At 40.6% G+C, this 21522-nt stretch overlaps 1 protein-coding gene across 3 annotated transcripts in view, besides 4 other annotated features; it reads right to left on the reverse strand.

The window, feature by feature from the left end:
• PON2 (paraoxonase 2) overlaps positions 1 to 10956 on the reverse strand; it is a 30167-nt gene extending 19211 nt beyond the window's left edge. For 2 of the 3 annotated variants that reach the window (NM_001018161.2, NM_000305.3), the window contains exons 1-2: positions 10806 to 10956; positions 443 to 513 (exon numbers count right to left, since the gene is read on the reverse strand). In NM_001018161.2, coding sequence (NP_001018171.1) covers positions 443 to 513; positions 10806 to 10879 — 145 coding nt within the window. In that variant the 5' untranslated portion in view covers positions 10880 to 10956. Of the gene's footprint in view, positions 1 to 442; positions 514 to 10805 lie in introns of those variants that run through there. The other variant, XM_005250453.2, reaches the window with a different exon arrangement.
• Positions 10639 to 11068: a silencer, noted in NCBI's record as "silent region_18383". NCBI's record gives its function as "represses an Ori minimal core promoter by ATAC-STARR-seq in GM12878 lymphoblastoid cells {active_cell/tissue: GM12878}" and the evidence as "EXISTENCE:reporter gene assay evidence [ECO:0000049][PMID:35858748]".
• Positions 10639 to 11313: a biological region, named in NCBI's record as "H3K27ac hESC enhancer GRCh37_chr7:95064127-95064697".
• Positions 10743 to 11313: an enhancer, noted in NCBI's record as "H3K27ac hESC enhancer chr7:95064127-95064697 (GRCh37/hg19 assembly coordinates)". NCBI's record gives its function as "activates a minimal SCP1, AML or CMV promoter by ChIP-STARR-seq in naive H9 embryonic stem cells {active_cell/tissue: H9 hESC(naive)}" and the evidence as "EXISTENCE:reporter gene assay evidence [ECO:0000049][PMID:30033119]".
• Positions 16405 to 16699: an enhancer, noted in NCBI's record as "tiled region #10642; HepG2 Activating DNase matched - State 5:Enh". NCBI's record gives its function as "activates a minimal TATA promoter and a strong SV40 promoter by Sharpr-MPRA in HepG2 cells {active_cell/tissue: HepG2}" and the evidence as "EXISTENCE:reporter gene assay evidence [ECO:0000049][PMID:27701403]".

The raw sequence follows: 21522 nt of genomic DNA on the forward strand, positions 1-21522 counted from the left end.
CAAACCATATTGGTCAGTTACGTGTTAGCCATAAGATCAGATCCTAGTTATAGAGTAGTGAGCAGGGTAAATGCTGTCACTGCCTACATAAAGCTTCCTTCACTAGCTGACCACAAGGCTCACAGAACACAGACTGCAGCGGCCATACCTGACAAACAATACAGACGCAACAAAAATAGTTCAGAGAAGTCACAAAACAAGCAAGAAATCAAATGCTAAACATAGAATTACACACAAAAAAGAATAATTTACAGTGAGGGTAGGAAAGAAGAATAAATACAGGGTTCATCAGATCAAGAGGTTGACCAAAGAGGTTTTTGTTGATCTAATGTGATTTATCCACTGAAAAGCAGTAATTTCATGCTAAAATGCCATTAATGAGTGTTTTAATGTTAATGGCCAAAAAATGCAATGTGCCCAACAAGCATTTTCATATACATACCAATTCCTTTAATCAGGTGGCAGTGTGGAAGGTCTACAGATTCTACTTCTCTGGAGGCTTTAAGTCGATTTCTGTTACAAAGAAAAAAAAACAAAAAACAAAAAACTATTTGTTTATGTATTCCCTGCTTTGTTTTAGAAAGGGTTTAAAGAGGCTTACAGCAATACATAAAACACAGTTTAAGTCTAAAGCAGATGAAAGAGAAAATAGAAAGACAAGGGTAGGAAAATAAAACTGCACCAGAAATGAAGTTAAAACAAAAATGCCTATTGCAAAGTTCTATATACTGATGTGGGTTATTAAAAAAAAAAAGCCAATAACTCAACAAATAAAACTTATAATGCAAGTTCCTATGCAAATGTAAACACAGCACCATGTCACATTTCTCAGTGTTGGTGTTGTGGGAAAAGAGTTCCAGATGTAGAACCAGTAGCCCTGTCTTCCTTCTGAAGAGTCAAACGTGAAAAATGACTGTAAGCCTCACACAGAGACTGCAAAGAAGCCAAGAGAAAATGGCATTGCTCAGAGCCTGACACACCAAAGACATCCCACAAATAGTTACTAACAAAAAAGAAAAGAAGGTAGCATCCCTATGACAGTATTTTTTTAAATAAGAATGTATTTATCTTATTTCAATAGCTTTTGGGGGTACATGTGGTTTTTGGTTACATGGATGAGTGATATAGCAGTGAATTCTGAGATTTTAGTGTACCCATCCATGACAGTATGTATTGGAATAGGAAGGTTGGAGAACACCAACTAGTTCTGTAACTACTTCAGCAAAACTATTTGCTGTTGTATACCCAGAAAATTAAAAGAAGGAAATAATAAGAGAATGTTGAACTCTAATAGGATGTCTTCCCCCTCCCTCTCCACTCTAGAGGGCCAGGAAGCAGTTTGGGACAATATCTGTGGGATCTTTTGTTTTGAAGGCCACATACTATTGGCTTTCCCTTCTCTCTCACATTTTTCACCTTCTCTGTTCTCTAGAGCCATAAATAATAAAAATAGCACCTTGTAGAAACTTTACATTTTTCAGTGGTTCCCACATACCATACATTTAAGAGACGAAATAGCTATTTGCCATGTGTCCTTCTCCTGTGCATATTCCTGACAGCTTCTGAGGTCTAGACACTGGGGAAGGCTTCTGGAGTATGGGGCAGGCTACCAGTTTCTTCTAGATAACCCAGAATGACTCATAGGTTGTACCAACTACACATTTTGGCAATTCATATCAGACATAAAGTTTCTAATTAAAATGTTAATCAGTATGTATTTGAAATCATGTAACTCAAATAATGTTAAATTTTTTGAAACAATATAGCAATAAGGCAAAAAGTACAAATAAATCAATATTTAAATATAATAAAAAATAATGCATTAAATGTATTAAATAATACAAATTTTTAAATAAGGCATTAAAAAATACAATAAATCTCATGGCCTACGTGTCACAGAAGTGATTTAAGAGAGGAAAAATAAGCTAGAAAACCAAATACTGCATGTTCTCACTTTAACTGGGAGCTAAACAATGGTGCACATGGACATAAAGATGACGATGGTAGACACTGGGGACTACTAGAAGGGGAAGGGAAGGGAGTAGACAAGGGCTGAAAAACTATAGGGTACTATACTCACTACCTGGGTGATGGCATCAGTTGTTCCCCAAACCTCAGCATCAGACAATATACCCATGTAAAACCTGCACATGTACCCCTTGAATCTAAAATAAAATTGAAATTATAAAACAGAGAGAGAAAAAAAAAGTTTATGTAGCCTAATGTGGTAGTAATCTTAATTGTGATGATGAGGATGACACTGATGATAATTGTGGGTGGTCAAAGGAAATAAATAATAAAAAAGTATAATTTACCGCTGTTCTAAGTGATTTACCTCCATGCATTCATTTAATTCTTCAAACAACCCTGTAAATTAGGTAGCATTATTCCAGTTTAAAAGATGAGAAAACTGAATCAGACAAAACAATTTTCCCACGGCGCAACTTAGCCAGAAGTGCTGGAAGCAGGGAAGCTTTTGCTTTAAACTACTTTGTACTTTTCTCAGAAAGAAGTAAAGGGATCTGTGTTCTTGTCTCAGCAGTGAAACTGCCATGACCCTTGGCAGGTCAGTTAATCTCTATAGGTGTCAGTCTTCTTTATGGATAAAATAAGGATGAGCCTAAAACACCTCCAAGATTCTACAAATGTTATATGACTCCAGAAACAGATGTAGATACAAAGCAATAGGATGTAACTGCTGTTTGTACACCAAGTTTTAGTATCATGCATTGGTTTGGATGTCAATTTTACACAACTTACTACTATGCCTATTTGACTATACAAAAATAGGGATAACGATGTTTACCATCTACCTTTTTCAAAGATAATCTCTTTGGATTAAATAAAATCTGTTCAAAGTAACATATTCTGATGTGTTTGAAAAGTTTAATATGGGGTTCCTGTTTCAGAGTCAACTTAGGTTTGCGTAAGTAATTGGTGCTAAATAGGGCAATCTTCATCAACTAGTTTTCTTGTATAATATCATGTTTTCATATGCAGCCTACCTGCTATTAACATGGAAGAGTTACATGAGGGTTGTGCATAACTTCTACTTAACTAATTTTTTTCTTGGCTTTCCTTTTTGATAAAAGAAAATGAAGGTTTTGCCTTTATCCTTCCTGGACCATCAAGACTTCCAAATTTCTTCAGTAGGAAACTGCCAGACTTTTTCCCTGGCAGAACAATCAGTTCCCTGCTTGTTAGTGGACTTCTGTTTTCTGGGTGGCAGACCCTAGCGGCTGACAAAATTAACGCCATGCCCAACCCCCTTTCTTTCTCCCTTGTCGTTTCTATTGTAGTGGTGGGCAAAGCAAATATTTGCTTTCCCAGACTCCGCTGTATTGAGGTGTAGTCATATGACCCAGGTTTTGGGGAAAGACACTGTGTTCTAGATACAAAGGAGAGTCACGAGAAGAGAGCTAGCTGGCATCACTCAATCTCCTTTCTTCATGATTTGAACACACACGCAGTGTTTGAGACTGCGGCAGCCATTCTGCATCCTTGAGAAAGATACAGCTATAAAGTCAATAGGGGGAGATCAAAGAATGAAAATATATGAAGAACCCAGTTCCTTGATATAATCACTGGCTCAATGAACAAGCTCTATATTGGGTCACCCACAGAGCTGTTTTTCATGTGAGGAAAATAAATCCCTCTTTGAATGAACTACTATTAATCTGATATATGTTACTTGTGGCTGGAAGCAATCCTCGCTGGCATCAGATTTAAGAACTTTGTGTATTTAAGAAATACATATATTTCTCTTAATATAGAGAAAGCTATACAAACCTTTTTGGATTAGATTAATAAATCTAAAAGTATTCATGTAAAAAATACAACATAAATGGTATAAACACATATAAGTGATGATATGAGAGGAGGAACACTCTTTACTTTTGCTAGAGCCTATTTGTTCCCTAACACTTTATGTCTATAACATGCTTATGACTGTGCCAGGTCAGAGATGCATGGCTGTTGCCACTCTGCTGTCATGCAGGAATTGCTAATCAATAACAGCACTCTCCCTCTAACCCAGAGCCAGCCTCAGACACATTGTTTCGCAACCACAGGGAGTCTGTTAAAATTGACACTCAAAAGGAAAGCTATTTGCCTTCTCTGTTTTAGGTTCCTTTTGTTTTCCTTTCTTTTCTTTTTCATTACAGTTATTTATTTTATTATTTCCTCATCACGAGCCTATGGTAGGTATAATACAGCAAACAGTATCCGCTGGCTTCCTTCATTGGTGTCACAATCATTCCCCAAGTGACCCCTATGGAGTCCAGTGACCAAGGAATCCATGGGTAGAATTCAGGGATCCATGAACTTGGATGGGGGAAAAATACATCTTTATTTAAACCTTTAACTCAAATTGAGTATTTCCTTTGATGATGAGTATAAGCAACAAACCACAATACTATTAGTAGTATTTGTGACTGTCACTAATAGAAATTATAGATACTTTTCTATCGCATTTCAGTTGTAGATAGCTCAAAGTGCCATTTACATTCATTGCAACTTCAAAATATCTGCTGTTAGACATTTACCTACCTCTAGATCCATTTAAGGGTTTAATTTAAAAAGCATATTATATCATAGATTTTTAAATAGCTTGGTAGCAGTATTTAATTGGTTTCCTGTGTAATCCTATATATTTTATTTTACTCATTTAAAAACATGATGCTGAGAAGGAATGAAGGCTTTACCAGACTGCCAAAGGGATGTATGGCACAAAGGTTTAAGGAATTATGCTTGAATTTCATTGTCTACATAGATGACATTTATTGAGCTGACTGTGCGCTTGGCATTATTTTAAGCATTCTCATAGTCCCACTGTGGAGCAGGCAGTACCCCATCCTACAGATTACAACACTGGGGCACAGAAAAGTGAAATAATTAGTCCAAGGTTTCAGGTAAATAGTAGAGCTATGAATGAACTCAGGCTACCTGTCCACAAAGCATGAACTTTTTTTTTTTTTTATACTTTAAGTTCTAGGGTACATGTGCACAACGTGCAGGTTTGTTACATATGTATACATGTGCCATGTTGGTCTGCTGCACCCATTAACTCGTCATTTACATTAGGTATATCTCCTAATGCTATCCCTCCCCCCTCCCCCTACCCCACAAGAGGCCCCGGTGTGTGATGTTCCCCTTCCTGTATCCAAGTGTTCTCATTGTTCAATTCCCACCTATAAGTGAGAACATGTGGTGTTTGGTTTTCTGTCCTTCCAATAGTTTGCTAAGAATGACGGTTTCCAGCTTCATCCATGTCCCTACAAAGGACATGAACTCATCCTTTTTTATGGCTGCATAGTATTCCATGGTGTATATGTGCCACGTTTTCTTAATCCAGTCTATCATTGACGGACATTTGGGTTGGTTCCAAGTCTTTGCTATTGTGAATAGAAAGCATGAACTCTTAACCAACAGTCATTAGCATGAAATCAATCTCAGTGTCTTTCATTCAGGAAACAGCAGTACCCATCCAGAGTAGAATGAGACCAGGGGCTGCTAGCTATTATCTGGCCTCATGGCAGGTAGCAGTAAGGGTGTACCATGCTACGGTGCCAATATGCCCCTAAGCAAAGTGGGAACACAGTGTTACTATCAGGAGTTTCTTTGTGCCATACTTCTCTGCTTTTGAAATTTACATACAACTGCTGGGGCTTTATCTCCTATGTGCAAGTGATATACAAGCCAGGGCTTTATCTTTTATGTATAGCCTTGTAAAAACCCTTTGGAATTCACCCCTTGGGCTCTGGCAATACTTGCACTAAGTAACTAAGAATCTGTGCTTAGGCCTGTAAACCTAGGGAAAATTTGCTCCACTGGCAGAGAAGCTAGAAGACTGTGGGGAGCTGGGGCAAACTGTATTTGGAATCAGGAGACCTGGCTGAGGCGACAGGTTCAGCACTAATTATTCATTAATTATATTATTCAATATTTATATTATTCTGTTGAACTAACTAGTTAACCTCTCTAACCTCAGTATTTACAGTTATAATGTAAAAGGGAAGATATCTATGAAGACTGGATGAAGGCATAAAAGTAAAAGAGCTTTCTTTCCAAATATCAGTAAATGTACGTTTTGGTTTAATATAAAGAAATTTGGCAGGGCTCAGTAGCTCATACCCATAATCCCAGTGCTTTGGGAAGTTGATGCGGTAGGATCACTTATGGCTAGAAGTTTGAGATCAGCCTGGGCAACACAGCAAGACCCCCATCTCTACAAAAAAATTTTTTTGTTTTTTTTTTTTTGAGACAGAGTCTCGCTCTGTTGCCAGGCTGGAGTGCAATGGCTCACTGCAACCTCCGCCTCCCGGGTTCAAGTGATTCTCCTGCCTCAGCCTCCTGAGTAGCTGGGATTACAGGCATGTGCCACCGTGCCTGGCTAATTTTGTATTTTTAGTAGAGATGGGGTTTCACCATGTTGGTCAGGCTGGTCTTGAACTCCCGACCTCAGGTATCCACCCGCCTCAGCCTCCCAAAGTGCTGGGATTATAGTAATGAGCCACCGTGCCCGGCCATGTTTTTTTAATTAGCCAGGTGTAGTGGTGCATGCCTATAGTCCTCACTGCTTAGGAGGCTGAGGTGGGAGGATTGCTTGAGCCCAGGTGTTCTGGGTTACAATGAGCTATGATTGTGCTGCTGCACTCCAGCCTGGGTGACAGAGCAAGAACCTGCCTTGAAGAAAAAAGAAAAAAAGAAAGAAAATATTTTTTAAAAGATAGATTAAAAAAATAAATAAAGAAGTTTTTACACTTTTGACACACTGACTGACCAGCACACAAGAGTTACATAATAAATGATTTAAAGGATGGTGGTTTAAAAAAAAAAAAAAGGGAAAAAGGCTGCTCTTTCAGAAGTAGAAACAGACCACATAGCTTCTTGTGGGAATTGTCATAAAAGGTGCGAGGCAGCAAGCAGAACATTCACATGGGTACTCTGGGGGTTCCTGCCCACGCTTAGGTCTCTGATGCACTCAAGCCTCATGATTCATCCATGGCTGTGTACCTTGACACCAGGAACTGGCCTGGGAATATTTGTATACTGTTATTTTCCCCTTTATTGCTCAACTAGGGAGGGGTGGAAAAGGAGGGTGTGGAATCCCAGTTACAGTTCAGAAGAAGAAAGACAACTTTGATGGCATTTATCCCTCTGGGACATCCTTATACTAAAAATTGAAGTGGGCAACCTGGGGAGAGAAATAACTTGATTGCCAAAGTACCATCTCTAAATATTGAATAATCAAACAGTAGGCATCAGATTAAAGCAAAAATCAAACATAAAGCCTCTGTTCCTTCAACTTCCTCTGAAGAGCCTTTCCTTATGGGGAGGTGGGAACATGCTTTTTTTCTTTTTTTTTTGAGGGAGTCTTTCTCTGTTGTCCAGGCTGGAGTCCAGTGGCTCAATCTTGGCTCACTGCAACCTCTACCTCTGGGGTTCAAGCAATTCTCCTGACTCAGCCTCCCAAGTAGCTGGGATTACAGGGATGCACCACCACACCTGGCTAATTTTTGTATTTTTATTAGAGACGGGGTTTCACCATGTTGGCCAGGCTGGTCTTGAACCCCTGACCTCTAGTGATCTGCCCGCCTCAGCCTCCCAAAGTGCTGGGATTACAGACGTGAGCCACTGTGTCCGGCCAAACATGCTCCTTTTTAAAACAGACTCAAAGGGTCACCAAATTCTGACAGAAGGCACTCGAACATATGATAAAATACAGGGTACCCAGTGATATTTTAATTTGAGATAAACAATGAATGATATTTTAGTATAATTATGTCCCAAATTCCACGCTTAATGCTAAAAGTATGGTATAAGTATTTCATGCTTATACTAAAAAAAAAAAAAAAAATCCATGTGAAATTCAAAGTTAACTGGGTAGCCTACATTTTTCTTTGCTAAATCCAGCCACCCACCACCTACCCCAACATTCTCACGTCAGCCCATTTGGGGCTCCACATATCCAATAAAGTTACCATTTTATAAAGTCACTGCCCATTAAAGTGCATCACAGTCACGTAAAGAAAAGGTGCATCAAATTGTAAAGTAGGCCGAGGGTGGTGGCTCATGTGTATAATCCTACCACTTTGGGAGGCTGAGGCAGGAGCATCACTTGAGGCTGGGAGTTTGAGATTAGCCTGGGCAACAAAGTGAGACCCTGTCTCTGCAAGAAATAAAAATACTAGCTGGGCATGGTAGCATGCATCTGTAGTCCCAGCTACTCAGGAGGCTGAGGAGGGAGGACTGCTTGTGCCTAGGTGTTTGAGATTGCAGTGAGCTTTGATGTACCACTGTACTCTGGCTTGGGCGGCAGAGCAAGACCTTGTGTCAAAATAAAAAACAAAGAAAAACAAAAAACAAACAAACAAAAACCTGTAAATAAACTATCAGGCATTCTGTCAATAAGTTTTATTTACTTTTTCTTTTTTTTTTAGATTTGCAGCTATAACTTTAAAACCTTAAGATTAGTGAGAAGGGGGAATATTTGACTGTTGAGAAAACTTCCAACTTGCAGAAAAACTGGTGGCTTACACATTAGTGACAACATAATAAGCTTGTGAATTTTGGTGGTCTTGCCTTTGAAATGGAGAGCAGGACAGATCATATACAAAGTCATCCAACTCATGAATGTTCTGTAGAGCACAATGGGCATTACCTAACATGAAAATTAAGGTCAACATGTCCATTTCCTACCCATAAGCGTTCTTTCCTCAAATCTCACTCCCATCTCAGCCACCACACGCTTCCTCTTTGCACTGCTTTATCAGTAGATGAAACTACAACCATGGGACAGTGGAGCTGTGGCACAAACTCTGGTAGCACCTTTGACTTCTCCCTCATCCCTGGGGTTCCAGAGTTTGGGTCCCTGTTATCCTCTCTGACCTACTGCAATACCTTAACCAGTTACCCCATGTCTGCTCTCTATTCTAGTAGTTCTCGACCTTGACTGCTCATTAGAATTATCAGGAATGTTTTTAAAAATAAAAAATGCCACTGCTACTGTCAGCCACTGTTCTTACATTATGCACTTCCTTATTTATCTATTTACCTGGGAACCCTGAAGCCAGCTTGCCAAACAATACATTATTCCATATCACATTTTAATTATAACGAAAAATCTCTGGTAGGTAGACACCATAGTTTATAAATTACCAACTCAAATTTTGTTTTTTATTTATTTATTTATTTATTTATTCATTTTGTAGAGGTGGGATCTTGCTATGTTGCCCAGGCCTGTCACTAACTCCTGGGCTCAAGCAATCTTCTGGCTTAGGCCTCCAACAGTGCTGGGATTACAGGTGTGAGCTGTAGATTCTGATCCAGAACAGCTGAATCAGAATCTTTGGTGGTGCCACTCAGACACCAGCCCTCCAGGAGATTCTAATGTACAGAGAACCATTGCTCTCCTCCAATCCCCCCTTCCAGGCTTATCTCTATAAAACACAACTAGTTATATTAAGTTCTTGTTGAAAAGCAAAACCCACCAATATTTCCCTTTTGAAGCACTATTGGGCCTATGAAAGTGGGGCCCCATTTTTCAACTTATATTTAATGGCCTCAAAACCTATCCTTCCCACCACCCTACTATTCTCATCTCCTGACTTTATGCTCCCTTCAAATTGGCCCATTTGCTAGTCTTCCAACTTCCCACCTTAGCCCCTTTGCTCCTGCTGCACTATACATTTGGCATGGGCCCCTTCATGCTCATATGTGTTGCACCCACCCTTCAAGGTCAGGTCGAATGTCTCTTCCTCCCTCTAGAACTCCACCCTCAGGGGATGGAATCTTTCCTCTTTAAGCCTATGCGGTTCATTTGTGTCTGTCCTTAGAACATCCTAATTTATACATTTACTGTATTTTAATTCTCTCTTCCCCTGTATCAAACTCCATAAGGGTCGTACTCTACTATAGAAGCCTAAGAGAGAACATTACACATAGCAGGTGCTCAGTCTTTCTGGAACTCTTTTGCATGAGGCCTATAAAATTTTGGTTGAGGCAGGGCAGAACAGCTCACACCTGTAATCCCAGCACTGTGGGGAGGCCTAGGCTGGAGGATTGCTTGAGTGCAAGAGTTAGGGAACAGCCTGGGCAATACAGCAAGACCCCATCTCTACAAAAAATAAAATAAACAAAAAACAAACGTTGAGTTGGTAATTTATAAACGATGATGTCTACCTACCAGAGATTTTCATTAAAACTAAAATGCGAGATGGAATAGTGTCTGCGCTGTCTGGCATTCTGGCTTCAGGCTTCCCTGGTGAATAAATAGGAAGTAAGAACAGTAGCTGAATATTTCAAGTGTCTTTGATCTACAGCTGAAGAGTTTCTCAAACTATGCAGAAATGGGTGGAGAACAACTTTATTAAAGACGGGTCTGGTTTGGGCAACAAGGAGAAACAGCACCAATGACCTGAAATAAATCTTCATAGTTAAGGTTTCAATGCATGAGTAGTCATTTTGTTTTCAATTTAAACCACTAGTTTGGCCCTTGGGTAATTGCAAAGCATTCTCTTGTCAGCCTAAGCAGAAGAGAACTTTGTTAGCAGCAAGGGCTTATAAACTTTCAAGAAAGTGTCGCGATTCACTCCAAACTTTGCTAGTTTTTTCACTAGAAGCGGAGAGTCGGGGTGATGGGGGTTCAACTAGCTGGGGGAGGGACAGCATTCAAAAATTCTCCACCCCCGGCCGCAGGGCCAGGTCCCGCAGGAATCCCTCCCCCAGCCTGCGCCCTCCCCGCACCACGCGGCCACCCCGAGCCTGGGGACCGCCGAGGAGGGGCGCGCGGGAGTCCCACCTACCTGAGTGCCAGAAGCCTCTCGCCCAGGAGCGCCAGCGCGATCCCCAGCAAGCCCACAGCCACCAGCCGCCCCATGGCGCGGGAGCCGGGCGCGCTGCCTCGCTCCGGCCTGGCCAGCAGCTCCGTGGGCGGTGCCATCTTCCCGGCTCGATGGTGCCGGCCGCGCTCCGCCCCGTCCTCCGCCTAGGCCGAGTCCCTGCGTCGGGGCCGCGGAGGCTCCGCCCTGGGCCTGGCCCTGGTCTTTGTCCTCACAAACCTATTTCCCCAGATACCTTCGGGACGGCCCGGACACGCCTTACATTAGGCTCATGATGTGAAACTTTGAATTCCTTCACTTCCTTTTTCAAACAACCCACCCGAAACCCTCTAGCAGCCCGCATACCTTTCTCGTTTCCCTAGTCTTCAAACACATTTCTCACTCGCTATTCCAGTGAGAAACTTACATAGAAAGCAGCTTTTGGGGATGGGGGTCGGTGGCCAAGGGAGGGAAAGTAACGGGATGCGTCGTGTAAATATTTCACGTTGGAATCACTACTTTTTATAACAGGACGTAGTTGCGAATAAATAAACATCCTGTGCCTCGTAATACTTTTTTTTTTTTTTTTTAACAGGGTCTCGCTGTGTTGCCTAGGCTGGAGTACATTGGCACAATCATAGCTCACTGCAGTCTGGACCTCCCGGACTCAAGGGACCCTCCAGCCTCAGCCTCCTGAGTAGCTGGGACCGCAGGCACGTACCGTTACACCTAGCTAAGTGTGTGTAAGTTGTGTGTGTGTCTGTGTGTGTGTGTGTGGAGACCGAGTCTTGCTGTGTTGCCCAGGTTGGTCTCAAACTCCTGGACTCAAGCCATCCTCCTGCCTCAGCCTCCCAAAGTGCTAGAATTACAGGAATGAGCCACCATGCCCAGCCTCTATTAATACTTCCAGACTACAGACTTAAGGACTTAGACACGTCTTTTTCATCCAAACTCAAAGGGAAGAAGTGTAGTTTTTTTCTTTTCCGTTTTTACTCTAACAACCGTAACATGAAGGAATAATTTAAAATACAATTTTAAAAGTAAAATGAAATTTACCCATCAAGATTGATACCATTACAATAAATGAGTACATCTGAAATAAGCTTCTAATGGTTTTCGGTATTTAATTGCCACCCTACAATATGTAGGCAGAAATGGTCACACTTGACAATTTTCAACAAATATCAGTTTTATAAAGAACCAGTAAATAAAAGTGGATGCCAATTTCCCACCTGCCTCTCACCAAAAAAAAAAAAAAAAAAAAAAAGCACAAACACCTCTCTCCCTGTGTGTGTGTGTATCTCTGCTTCAGTCCTAAGGATATTGGATTATACTGGATGGTAGAAAGAGAAGTAAAAAGTTGTCCTTTGAAAGCCCATGAGGCATTACCTTTTTTGTGTCGTGGACCCTTCTGGCAGTGGTGAGCCTGTGGATAACTTCTTAGAATAATGTTTATAAATGCTTACAATAAAATGCATAAATTTTCTCTGTGCGGTTCATGAAAAAAAGAAAGAAGAAAAAAAAATTTTAAATAAATGAATAAAATGTATAGATTGCAAAGAAAATCAATTACATTGTAAGGAAAAAAAATAGCTGAGAGCAGTCTGAGCTTTGTGAGGTATGCAAAATTTATCAGGCCCAGAGCGACATGAGTATGGGACTTCAGTCACGCCCCAATACCCATGCCTGGGGACAGTTGTTTAAAGACATTTTGTTCCCGAGTAGCTGTCCCACCCATTATCTTCATATTCCTGGAATTTATGATACAAAGAACAAAGTATAACCAATCCACAGCTTATGTTATTTTAACGCAAGGAATTTAGGAACTGCCTCTTCCTTCCCCTTAAAAATCTATGTGTAACTGCTGCTAATCAGAGTGTATATTTAGGGAAACTTGAATCTATACTCCTGGGTTGCAGTACTCAAACTTGGCCCAAATAAACTCTCTACTTACATTAATTTTGCCTTAGCTTTAAAATTAAAGGTCAACAATTGAAATGTAATTGTTAAAATATCTAAAACATAATTTTTTGCTATAGTAATGTGGTAATGTAATGTGTGCAACATTATTTAACATATTAAATAACAAGATCTAGCAACATTCTTTTAAATAAAGAGGAGTGCAAATGTTCTTTCATGATACTGAAAACAACTATAATGAAATAATGAAAATAACTGTTATTTCCATTAGTAACAGTCACAAGTACTGCAAATGCTTCTGAGGTTTGTCTGCTAGTTTTGTAATTGAAGAAAATGCTAAATTCCATTTGAAATCAAGATTTTTTTTTTCTTATCCAAGGTCATTAATTCCTCTGAACTATCAATGGACCACTGGGTTAAGAACTCTGACATAGGCTAAGGCTATGACTGTTTAGAGAAGGGTGGAATCTCCTTTCTAGGACTATTTTTGGTGTCAATTATTGAGGAAGAGAAGAGCCTCAGATACAAAATCAGAATTTAGGCCTGGCAAGGTAGCTCTTGCCTATAATCTCAGCACTTTGAAAGGCCCAGGTGGGAGGATCACTTGAAGCGGGGAGTTCAAGACCATTGTGGGCAACATAGGGAGAACCCATCTCTACAAAAAAAAAATTAAAATTAACAAAAAAAAAAAATTAAAGAATCAGAATTTAGAAGAAAGACCTAAAGCAGAGGGCCTTGGACTATTGTCTGGGCTTCTCTCTTAATCTCTTAGGCCCCAAGGGAAGTACATACAACTATGCCTCATGGATTCTGGGTCAGGAGCCAGGCTACCGTGTCTTTCCACAAGTTCCGCAAAATGAGGAAACCACATAGATGGCAAATAAGAATATCCAAGTATATGCTATTCTCTGTCTATTTCCCTTTTGCTATTCCCAATTTTTTAAAAAGAAAAAAGTCATGTTCTTAATAGTCATGTTCTTCAACCTGGTTCCAGGTGACATTAAAGGGTTGGAGGTCTACATCTTTTAGGCTAGTCTCAGGATAGCAAAAACAACAACAACAACCAAAACCAGCTTTTGTGCTGACTTTCCTTTCTTCCCTGGCCCATGGTAGGCGTCACTAATTGATTTTGGCAAAGTGTCTCATCACACCCAGACTTGTCCTCACAATTTTTTAAAACAACAACGAAAGGGAAATAAGAATCCCTGAGCTAGGGAACAGATTTCAGTTCAGGATGAAACCTGTTTGCCATCTTGGTGCTGGGTGGTCAGGAGGAACAACACCTTGGGATTTAGCATGGAAGCATTTGTGATAATGAGCCAGGACTTTCAAGTCCACCAAAACCTACCTAAGCTCACCCTCAGAGAATCAAGAGAAATGGAAACCTTATTTTAACTTTATTAACATGACCAGTGAGTTCCCCCAATAATCTGTGTGAGGAATCTTCTACCCCCATATTCTTTCTCTTTCTGAATGTTGCGGTTGAAGCAACTTTTGCAGAAGTAGTATCCATCTTTACCCCCAGCCCCACCACCATGCTAGGGCTGGAATTGTCATTCCTCACATGGGGATGGAGATGAGACGTATTTTCTAATTTGGAAATCAGAAACCATTGTAAGAATGTTATAGTGGTTGTTACATTGTATAGTATAGTTTAGCTGTCTTTTGAGATAACTAGGATGTATAGGCCACACCAAGAACATAACCCCTGGTTTACGTTTGTTTCCTGGGGAAAGTGGTTTCTGACTACCAAATAACCAAGTTACTCAATACAAAACAAACTTGTTCTGGAACTTGCTTGTGTGCTGGCAACTCCTTATACTTGGTATGAAACAGTATTTCTCAAATAATGACTTCTGACTTATTTAGTGGTTATTAAGTGGTTTTTTAAGCAAAATTTCAGAAATAATAATACCTTTTATCAGTGCTTCTCAAACTATGTGCAGTGAAGGACAGGTTTTTCTTGGCCTTTGTAAAATGCAATGAAAATGACTTACTGGAAGAGGAAGTAAAAAAACCAGACATACAAAATACAAGCCCAAATCTTTTATTATTTGGTTCAACAGACATAAAATTACTTTGTCAAATTTCTGTAACAGTTTCTAAATGCTTACTTTCAATTTTTTATACTTAACTAGCCATGGACCAGAAACAAAGAGTTCACAGACTGAAATGGTCCCTGGAGCACACTGCCTTTCATAATTGTACTTTTAACTCTTTAAAGTTCTTTGCAGTGTATTCTTAATTGTAACGCTCACAGTAATTTGTGAAATAGGTGACTCGTGATTATTGTAATTTTATATAATATGTGACAGGGAGTTCGGCCCTCCATATTCCTTTTATCCCTTCTTCTCCTTACTTCTGTTTTAAAAAGGGAACAAAAATGCATTGAAGGGATGCTATCAAAGATGGTTATTATCAGCAAAAGAAAGATTTGCCTTGTAGATGCCTCACTCCGTGGCTTCTCAAAGAGTAAAGGAAACCTCCCCACAGCCAGGCCGTTTTCTGAGAATTCCAACATATTAAAAAGTGAAGAAATGGCATAACAGAAACATAAAGTTTTTTTTTAATATTTATGTTCAACAAATTAACATCTTCAAATAATAGGTTGAATGATATTAACTTGTTTGTAGAGGTCAAATTCATAAACAGAGATAAAATACAATGTAATGTGCTAGTTACAAAATAATTATGCAATTCATAAAAAATATTTATTCCTGGTTTGCTATAGGAAGAGTGGTCCAGTCATGGAACTCAAGTTTAAAATGAATGAGTTTTTTCAGTTGTGTCACTGTATCTTTGTGATGTATGAATAAATGAATTGTGAGATAATGTTGAAAGTCAACATTTAGGGCTCTTTGTAAACTTCACGTCTAGGCCAGTTGGCTTGCCTGTCCCCATGAGACCCAAGCCTATTTATTTGGAGAGCTATAGGCTTTGCTGCCTCTCTTCCAGGAGCCATTGAACCCTGGGGAAGAGGACAGAGAGGAAGAAAACACTGGGAGAAAAGAGGGGAGCAGGAAGAGAAAGATACAAAAACTCCCCAACCTCCATGTGAGGCTGACTTTGGATGGGCTGAACTCTATGGAAAAAGTAAAGACATGTTACATCCTCTTCTAGGAAATGCATGCACGTTTTCCATTGTCCAAAGCAGCATTGTTTGTAGTTCTCCATGAATGAACCGTACGTTCTACTCCTTTTAGAAGCCTTAATGAAACAGGCTTAATGAAGGGGTCTGCTGAAGTAACAACTACAGGTATAATTTATTGAGCACTTCTTATTCCACACACTGCCTCATTTAACAACCATTTGAATTAGGTACTATTATTATCCCCAATTCATAAATGATGAAATTGAGGCCAGAGATTAAGTCTCTGACCCAGGGTTATACACCTGGAAATGGTAGGGTCAGGACCTAGTATAAAAAAATTTATACTGAGACCACATACCCACCTTGATATGTCTTTTGTTAATTGTCAAATAAAATATGATTTCTATTTCTTTGCTATTCATGGTCAGAGCAGAGATGAATGAGCTGGTAGTGAGAGTTGTAGAAAATTGCATCATATAAACTTGCATGAGGGAGAGTTTAAAACTAGGTTGCTTTTTATACTTTTCCTCTGCCTGCTTTCAGTAATTCACTTAATATTGATGATATTCTGTGTATCCAAGCAGTTACTGGGAATTCAAAGATAACGGAGGCAGACCTTCCCTGCCTTGGTGGCGGTCAGAGTCTAGGCAGTTGGACAAACATGCAATGTTGTAACAGGGGCTCAGAACTTTGATCTCTATTCTGTGTATGATGTAAAACCACTAATGACTTTTTAGGAAGGGAGGCACATTTGTGTTTTCAAAGGTCACTATGATGGCTCTGGGGATATTGAGAAGGTGGACTGGAGTCTATTCAAGAGAAGATACAGATGTGTACAAGGCAGAGGTATGGGGATGGTGGAGAGGAGCAGATTTAATGAATTTTGAAGGTTGAATGGATATAAATGGCTAATAAAATGGGGGTGGGCAGAGACTCTTCTGCAGGCTGAGGTGGGAGGATCACTTGAGCCCAGGAGTTCCAGTCCAGTTTCAGCAACATAATGAGACTCTTTTTTTTTTTTTTTAATGCGGGTGTAATCTGTTATGGGATTAGAGTTTTTTTAAAAAGAGAAAAAACATGGAAGGAAATGAGTGAATGGGAGCATATTAACTGGGATGGGGGATGAACAGTTTGGGGTGGCAGGGATAGGACAAAATAGTGAGTACGGCCTGGGACATAGCACATTTGATGCGCTCAAGGCCCAGTAAACATTTGCAGCTAAGTTTCTGCTGCTCAGGAATGAGATCTTGTCTGGAGATGGAGACTTGGGAATCATTAACCGAGAGTGTAGCAATCTGAGTAAATGACTTACAGGAAGGTTTGAGGCTGTAGCCTGAAGTGGTGTAAGTAGAATTCCTAACAGCTTTATCAGTATGCAGGTGGCTAGGAGATGGGGAAAGGCAGAGAAATAGAATGGAGAATTAGAAATTGATTTGAGCTTTAGGGATCACCTTAAACCAAGGAAAGCAGATGCTGACATAAAGGTGTCCTTTTCTCTTTCCCCTGAATCTGTATATGTGACCTTGAAATTCATACTGGCTCCAGGCAGTCATTCTGTGTCTATGGAGAATGAAACCTTATTTGCTATCCCTCCACAGAGCCTGGAAACCAACTGGAAGAAGCGGATGGGGATAGGAGGTTGGAAAGAAATCTCCTATTAGTTTTGCTTGACATAAGACAGCCTGTCTCCTGCTTTCTACACCCCCAGCAGCAGGAGTGACTAGCAAGCCCTGGAGTGTGCTTCTGGCAAGATCGCTCTCTTCTTCAGCGCTTACTGCCTCACTTCCAATATTTGTGGTATCCCTTGATCTAGATTTCTTCAGTCCCCAAAAGAAGTTGCGGTTCCCCCAGCAACCCTCATCTTCCAGACTCTCTTCCCTATGTGGTTGGGTACTTTTCTCCATCTCCCAATTCACCCCCAACTCCCCAAACTCCTTCCTTATGTCCCCTGGAAATCATAGTCAATCATTAGCAAAATCCCTTATATTCACAATATCTCTAAATAGTCTCTTCAATACTTTCATGTTATCTACTGACCCCCAATGCCAGGACATTTTCCCACCTGTTCCAAAAGGTTCTAGCTCCTGGTTCACAGTCATTCTCTTTTATAACACACCATCAAAATTCCTGGTGATTTTAGCATCCATGTGTAACCTTTTCATACCTAACTTTTCAGTTCCATAATCTCCTCTCTTCCAATGACCTTGTCTCTACTCCACTTTGACACCTACTCCTGTGGTTATACTTGAAGACTTTTCCATTACTGGTAATGACAACACCTCCAAAATCACAATTTTAAGATCTCATCTTCCAATCACCACCTCTTGTTTTTTTTAGCTCATTCCCTCTTGTACTCCACGTTTGAAACTTTTTGACCCCGCTTTGATGTCTGACTGCTAGAACTATTGCCTCTCACTACACACATACTCCATTTTATTCTACTTTGTCCAGTGCTGATTCTTTTTTGTTGTTTTTTTTTTTTTGAGGCAGAGTCTCACTCTGTCGCCCAGGCTGGAGTGCAGTGGCACGATCTCGGCTGACTGCAAGCTCTCCCTCCTGGGTTCACGCCATTCTCCTTCCTCAGCCTCCCGAGTAGCTGGGACTACAGGCTTCCACCACCAGGCCTGGCTAATTTTTTGTATTTTTTAGTAGAAATGGGGTTTCACCGTGTTAGCCAGGATGGTCTCAATCTCCTGACCTCGTGATCCACCCGCCTCGGCCTCCCAAAGTGCTGGGTGATTCTTTTTTTTTTTTTTTTTTGAGAAGGAGTTTCGCTCTTGTTGCCCAGGCTGGAGTGCAATGGTGTGATCTTGGCTCACTGCAACCTCCGCTTCTCGGGTTCAAGCAATTCTCCTGTCTCAGTCTTCTAAGTGGTTGAGTTTATAGGCATGCGCCACCACACTCGGCTAATTTTGTATTTTTAGTAGAGACAGGCTTTCTCCGTGCTGGTCAGGCTGGTCTCGAACTCCCAACCTCAGGTGATCCGCCCACCTTGGCCTCCCAAAGTGCTGGGATTACAGGCATGAGCCACCACACCCAGCCTATGCTGATTCTTTATAATATGGGTTTTTAGTAAAATTCTGGAGATAGTACACTGTAAGTATACTGACATGGTTTGGATTTGTGTCCTCACCGAAACCTCGTGCTCAATCCATTTCTCCAGCACCTTTTTCCCCCTCTTTGGTCTCCAAAGGGCAAATCCAAAATCCTTTCCATTTACTTATTGTTCCAGAAAAGCACTGAAAAATGTTTCTCTGTAAATAATCCCAATTGGTCTTTGCTTGATTAATTGTACCTAACATCCTGACTATGTGGAAAAATAAATGATCTTGGTTGCAGCCACACTGAGACACTGGTGGGCCATGGAGAGGAGAGCTGATGCTCACCTGGAGGGTCCTGCAGAGTTCAGCTCTGCTTAGCAGTTGGGTATCTCACCTGGAAAGCCTGAGATTCTTGTTCTTCTGAGGCTTAACACATGGGAGAAAAGGAAGGTTGGATCAGAACTTTCAGCAACAGGCTCTGGTTTCCAGCTCAAAGTGGGGCTGTCTCCTATGCTGGGCAAGTTTTCACACAGAATTTCAGCAAGGAGCTGGGCACAGTGGCTCATGCCTGTAGTCCCAGCACTTTGGGAGGCTAAAACAGGAGGATCACTTGAGCCCAGGAGTTTGAGACCAGCCTGGGCAACATTGCGAGACCCTGTCTCTACCAAAAAAAAAAATTAGACGGGTGTGGTTGTACATGCCTGTAGATCCAGCTACTCAGGACGCTGAGGTGAGAGGATAACTGGAGCCCAGATGGGAGGTCAAGGCTGTAGTGAGCTGTGTTCGTGACACTGCACTCCAGCCTGGCTGACAGAGTAAGAGCCTGTCTCAAAAAAAAAAATAATAATAATAATAATTTCAACAAGGTGGTAATCTTAACAGATAATTACTAAAGCGTTATCAAGGAAGACAATATGCATCACTGATCTATTTCTTAAGAAAAAATAATAAATAAAATTAAAACCTCATGATTTTATAACCTAATAGAATTTTGTAAGCACAGGTTTTCAACAGGTAGCTGTAATTTTAATTAAATATTCCATCTTCCTCAAACCTTTGTATACAAGCTCTAGTAATGCCACTTTATTTTGCCTATTTTTTCTTCAAGACAAAATCAAAAAGGATAATTTTAAAAAGATCATGCCTGTAGTCCCAGCACTTTGGGAGGCCAAGGCAGGTGGATCACATGAGGTCAGGAGTTCGAGACCAGCCTGACCAACATGGCGAAACCCCATCTCTACTAAAAATACAAAATTAGCCAGGCGTGGTGGCACATGTCTGTAATTCCAGCTACTTGGGAGGCTGAGGCAGGAGAATTGCTTGAACTCAGGAGGCAGAGGTTGCAGTGGGCTGAGATTGCGCCATTGTACTCCAGCCTGGGCAACAAGAGTGAGACTCCGTCTCTAAAAAAGAACACTCAGCTTCAATATTAGGATCCTCCCAGTTTTGCCCTAGGATGAAAGCTTTATGCCAAGGATTTCAGCTTTCTCTCTGTTCTGCCTTCTCTTCCAGACCATGCCTCAAAGGCTATTACTTCACACGGAACCTGCCTGCATGTTCTTTTGCTATTAAAAGTAATGGCAAGAACCCCAATTACTTTTGCACCAACATATAGCAAACAAACAAGAGTCTTAGTTCCTCAAGAAGATTTCTACCTTTAGTCCTTTGAAAATAACAAGTGTTTTCTCCTGGTTATATTTGGAAAATATGGTCTCTATTGACAATAGCTTCCCACCCCAGTGACTCTTTTCAAGCATGCTTTTTTGCTTCTCTCATTAATATTCCCTAAACCATTAGAAGATGTTTCACTCCTTGCCACGGTCATATTATCAAATAAAACTAAACTCTCAACGTTAGTGCCAAAATTGCATTCTGAATATAGTTTGTATTTTTTAGTTTTGCCCGTTATGTGAAGCTCCTCAAGCAGAAAGGTGGTTGGAAAATGTAGTGCTAGGAGATTAGCTTTCTGTTGCTAATAAAAAGAGCAAGGTTAACCCCCTTGACACAGACTCATTTTGAGACAAGATAGAGGGTCAGAAGTATGTTGACCCAGATTATTGAACCCAAAATAGGTACACATAACTTGATAAAGGGCTTTCTTTATTTTTCCATACACAGGCAATACATGAATGCTCTTGCATTGCAAAATATTCAAAGGTTACTGGTAAAATTATAGTCTCCCTGGCTTTCTTCTAGAAGAAAACACTATTTTCAGCTTAAGATGTATGCCTTTCTTATCATCATCTTATTTTCTTACTTATTATCATTCTCTTATTTTCATATGTGTAATTAAAAAAAAAGTTCCTGTAGAAACATATGGTACTATTGTGTGTGTGTGTGTGTGTGTGTGTGTGTGTGTATATATTCAGCAATATTGTCAACTAATTTTTTGGTGCCCCAAGCATGACTTTTTTTTGCCATAGAAAATACTCTACCATCCAGGTGCAGTGGCCCACACCTGTAATCCCAACACTTTGGGAGGCCAAGGCAGGCAGATCACCTGAGGTCAGGAGTTTGAGACTAGCTTGGCCAACACTGTGAAACCCTGTCTCTACTAAAAATATAAAAATTAGCCGGATGTGGTGGTGCATGCCTGTAATCCCAGCTACATGCCTCGGGAGGCTGAATCAGGGGAATCGCTTGAACCCAG

The sequence above is a fragment of the Homo sapiens genome, chromosome 7, assembly GCF_000001405.40.
Source record: "Homo sapiens chromosome 7, GRCh38.p14 Primary Assembly".
NCBI classification, from domain to species: domain Eukaryota; kingdom Metazoa; phylum Chordata; class Mammalia; order Primates; family Hominidae; genus Homo; species Homo sapiens.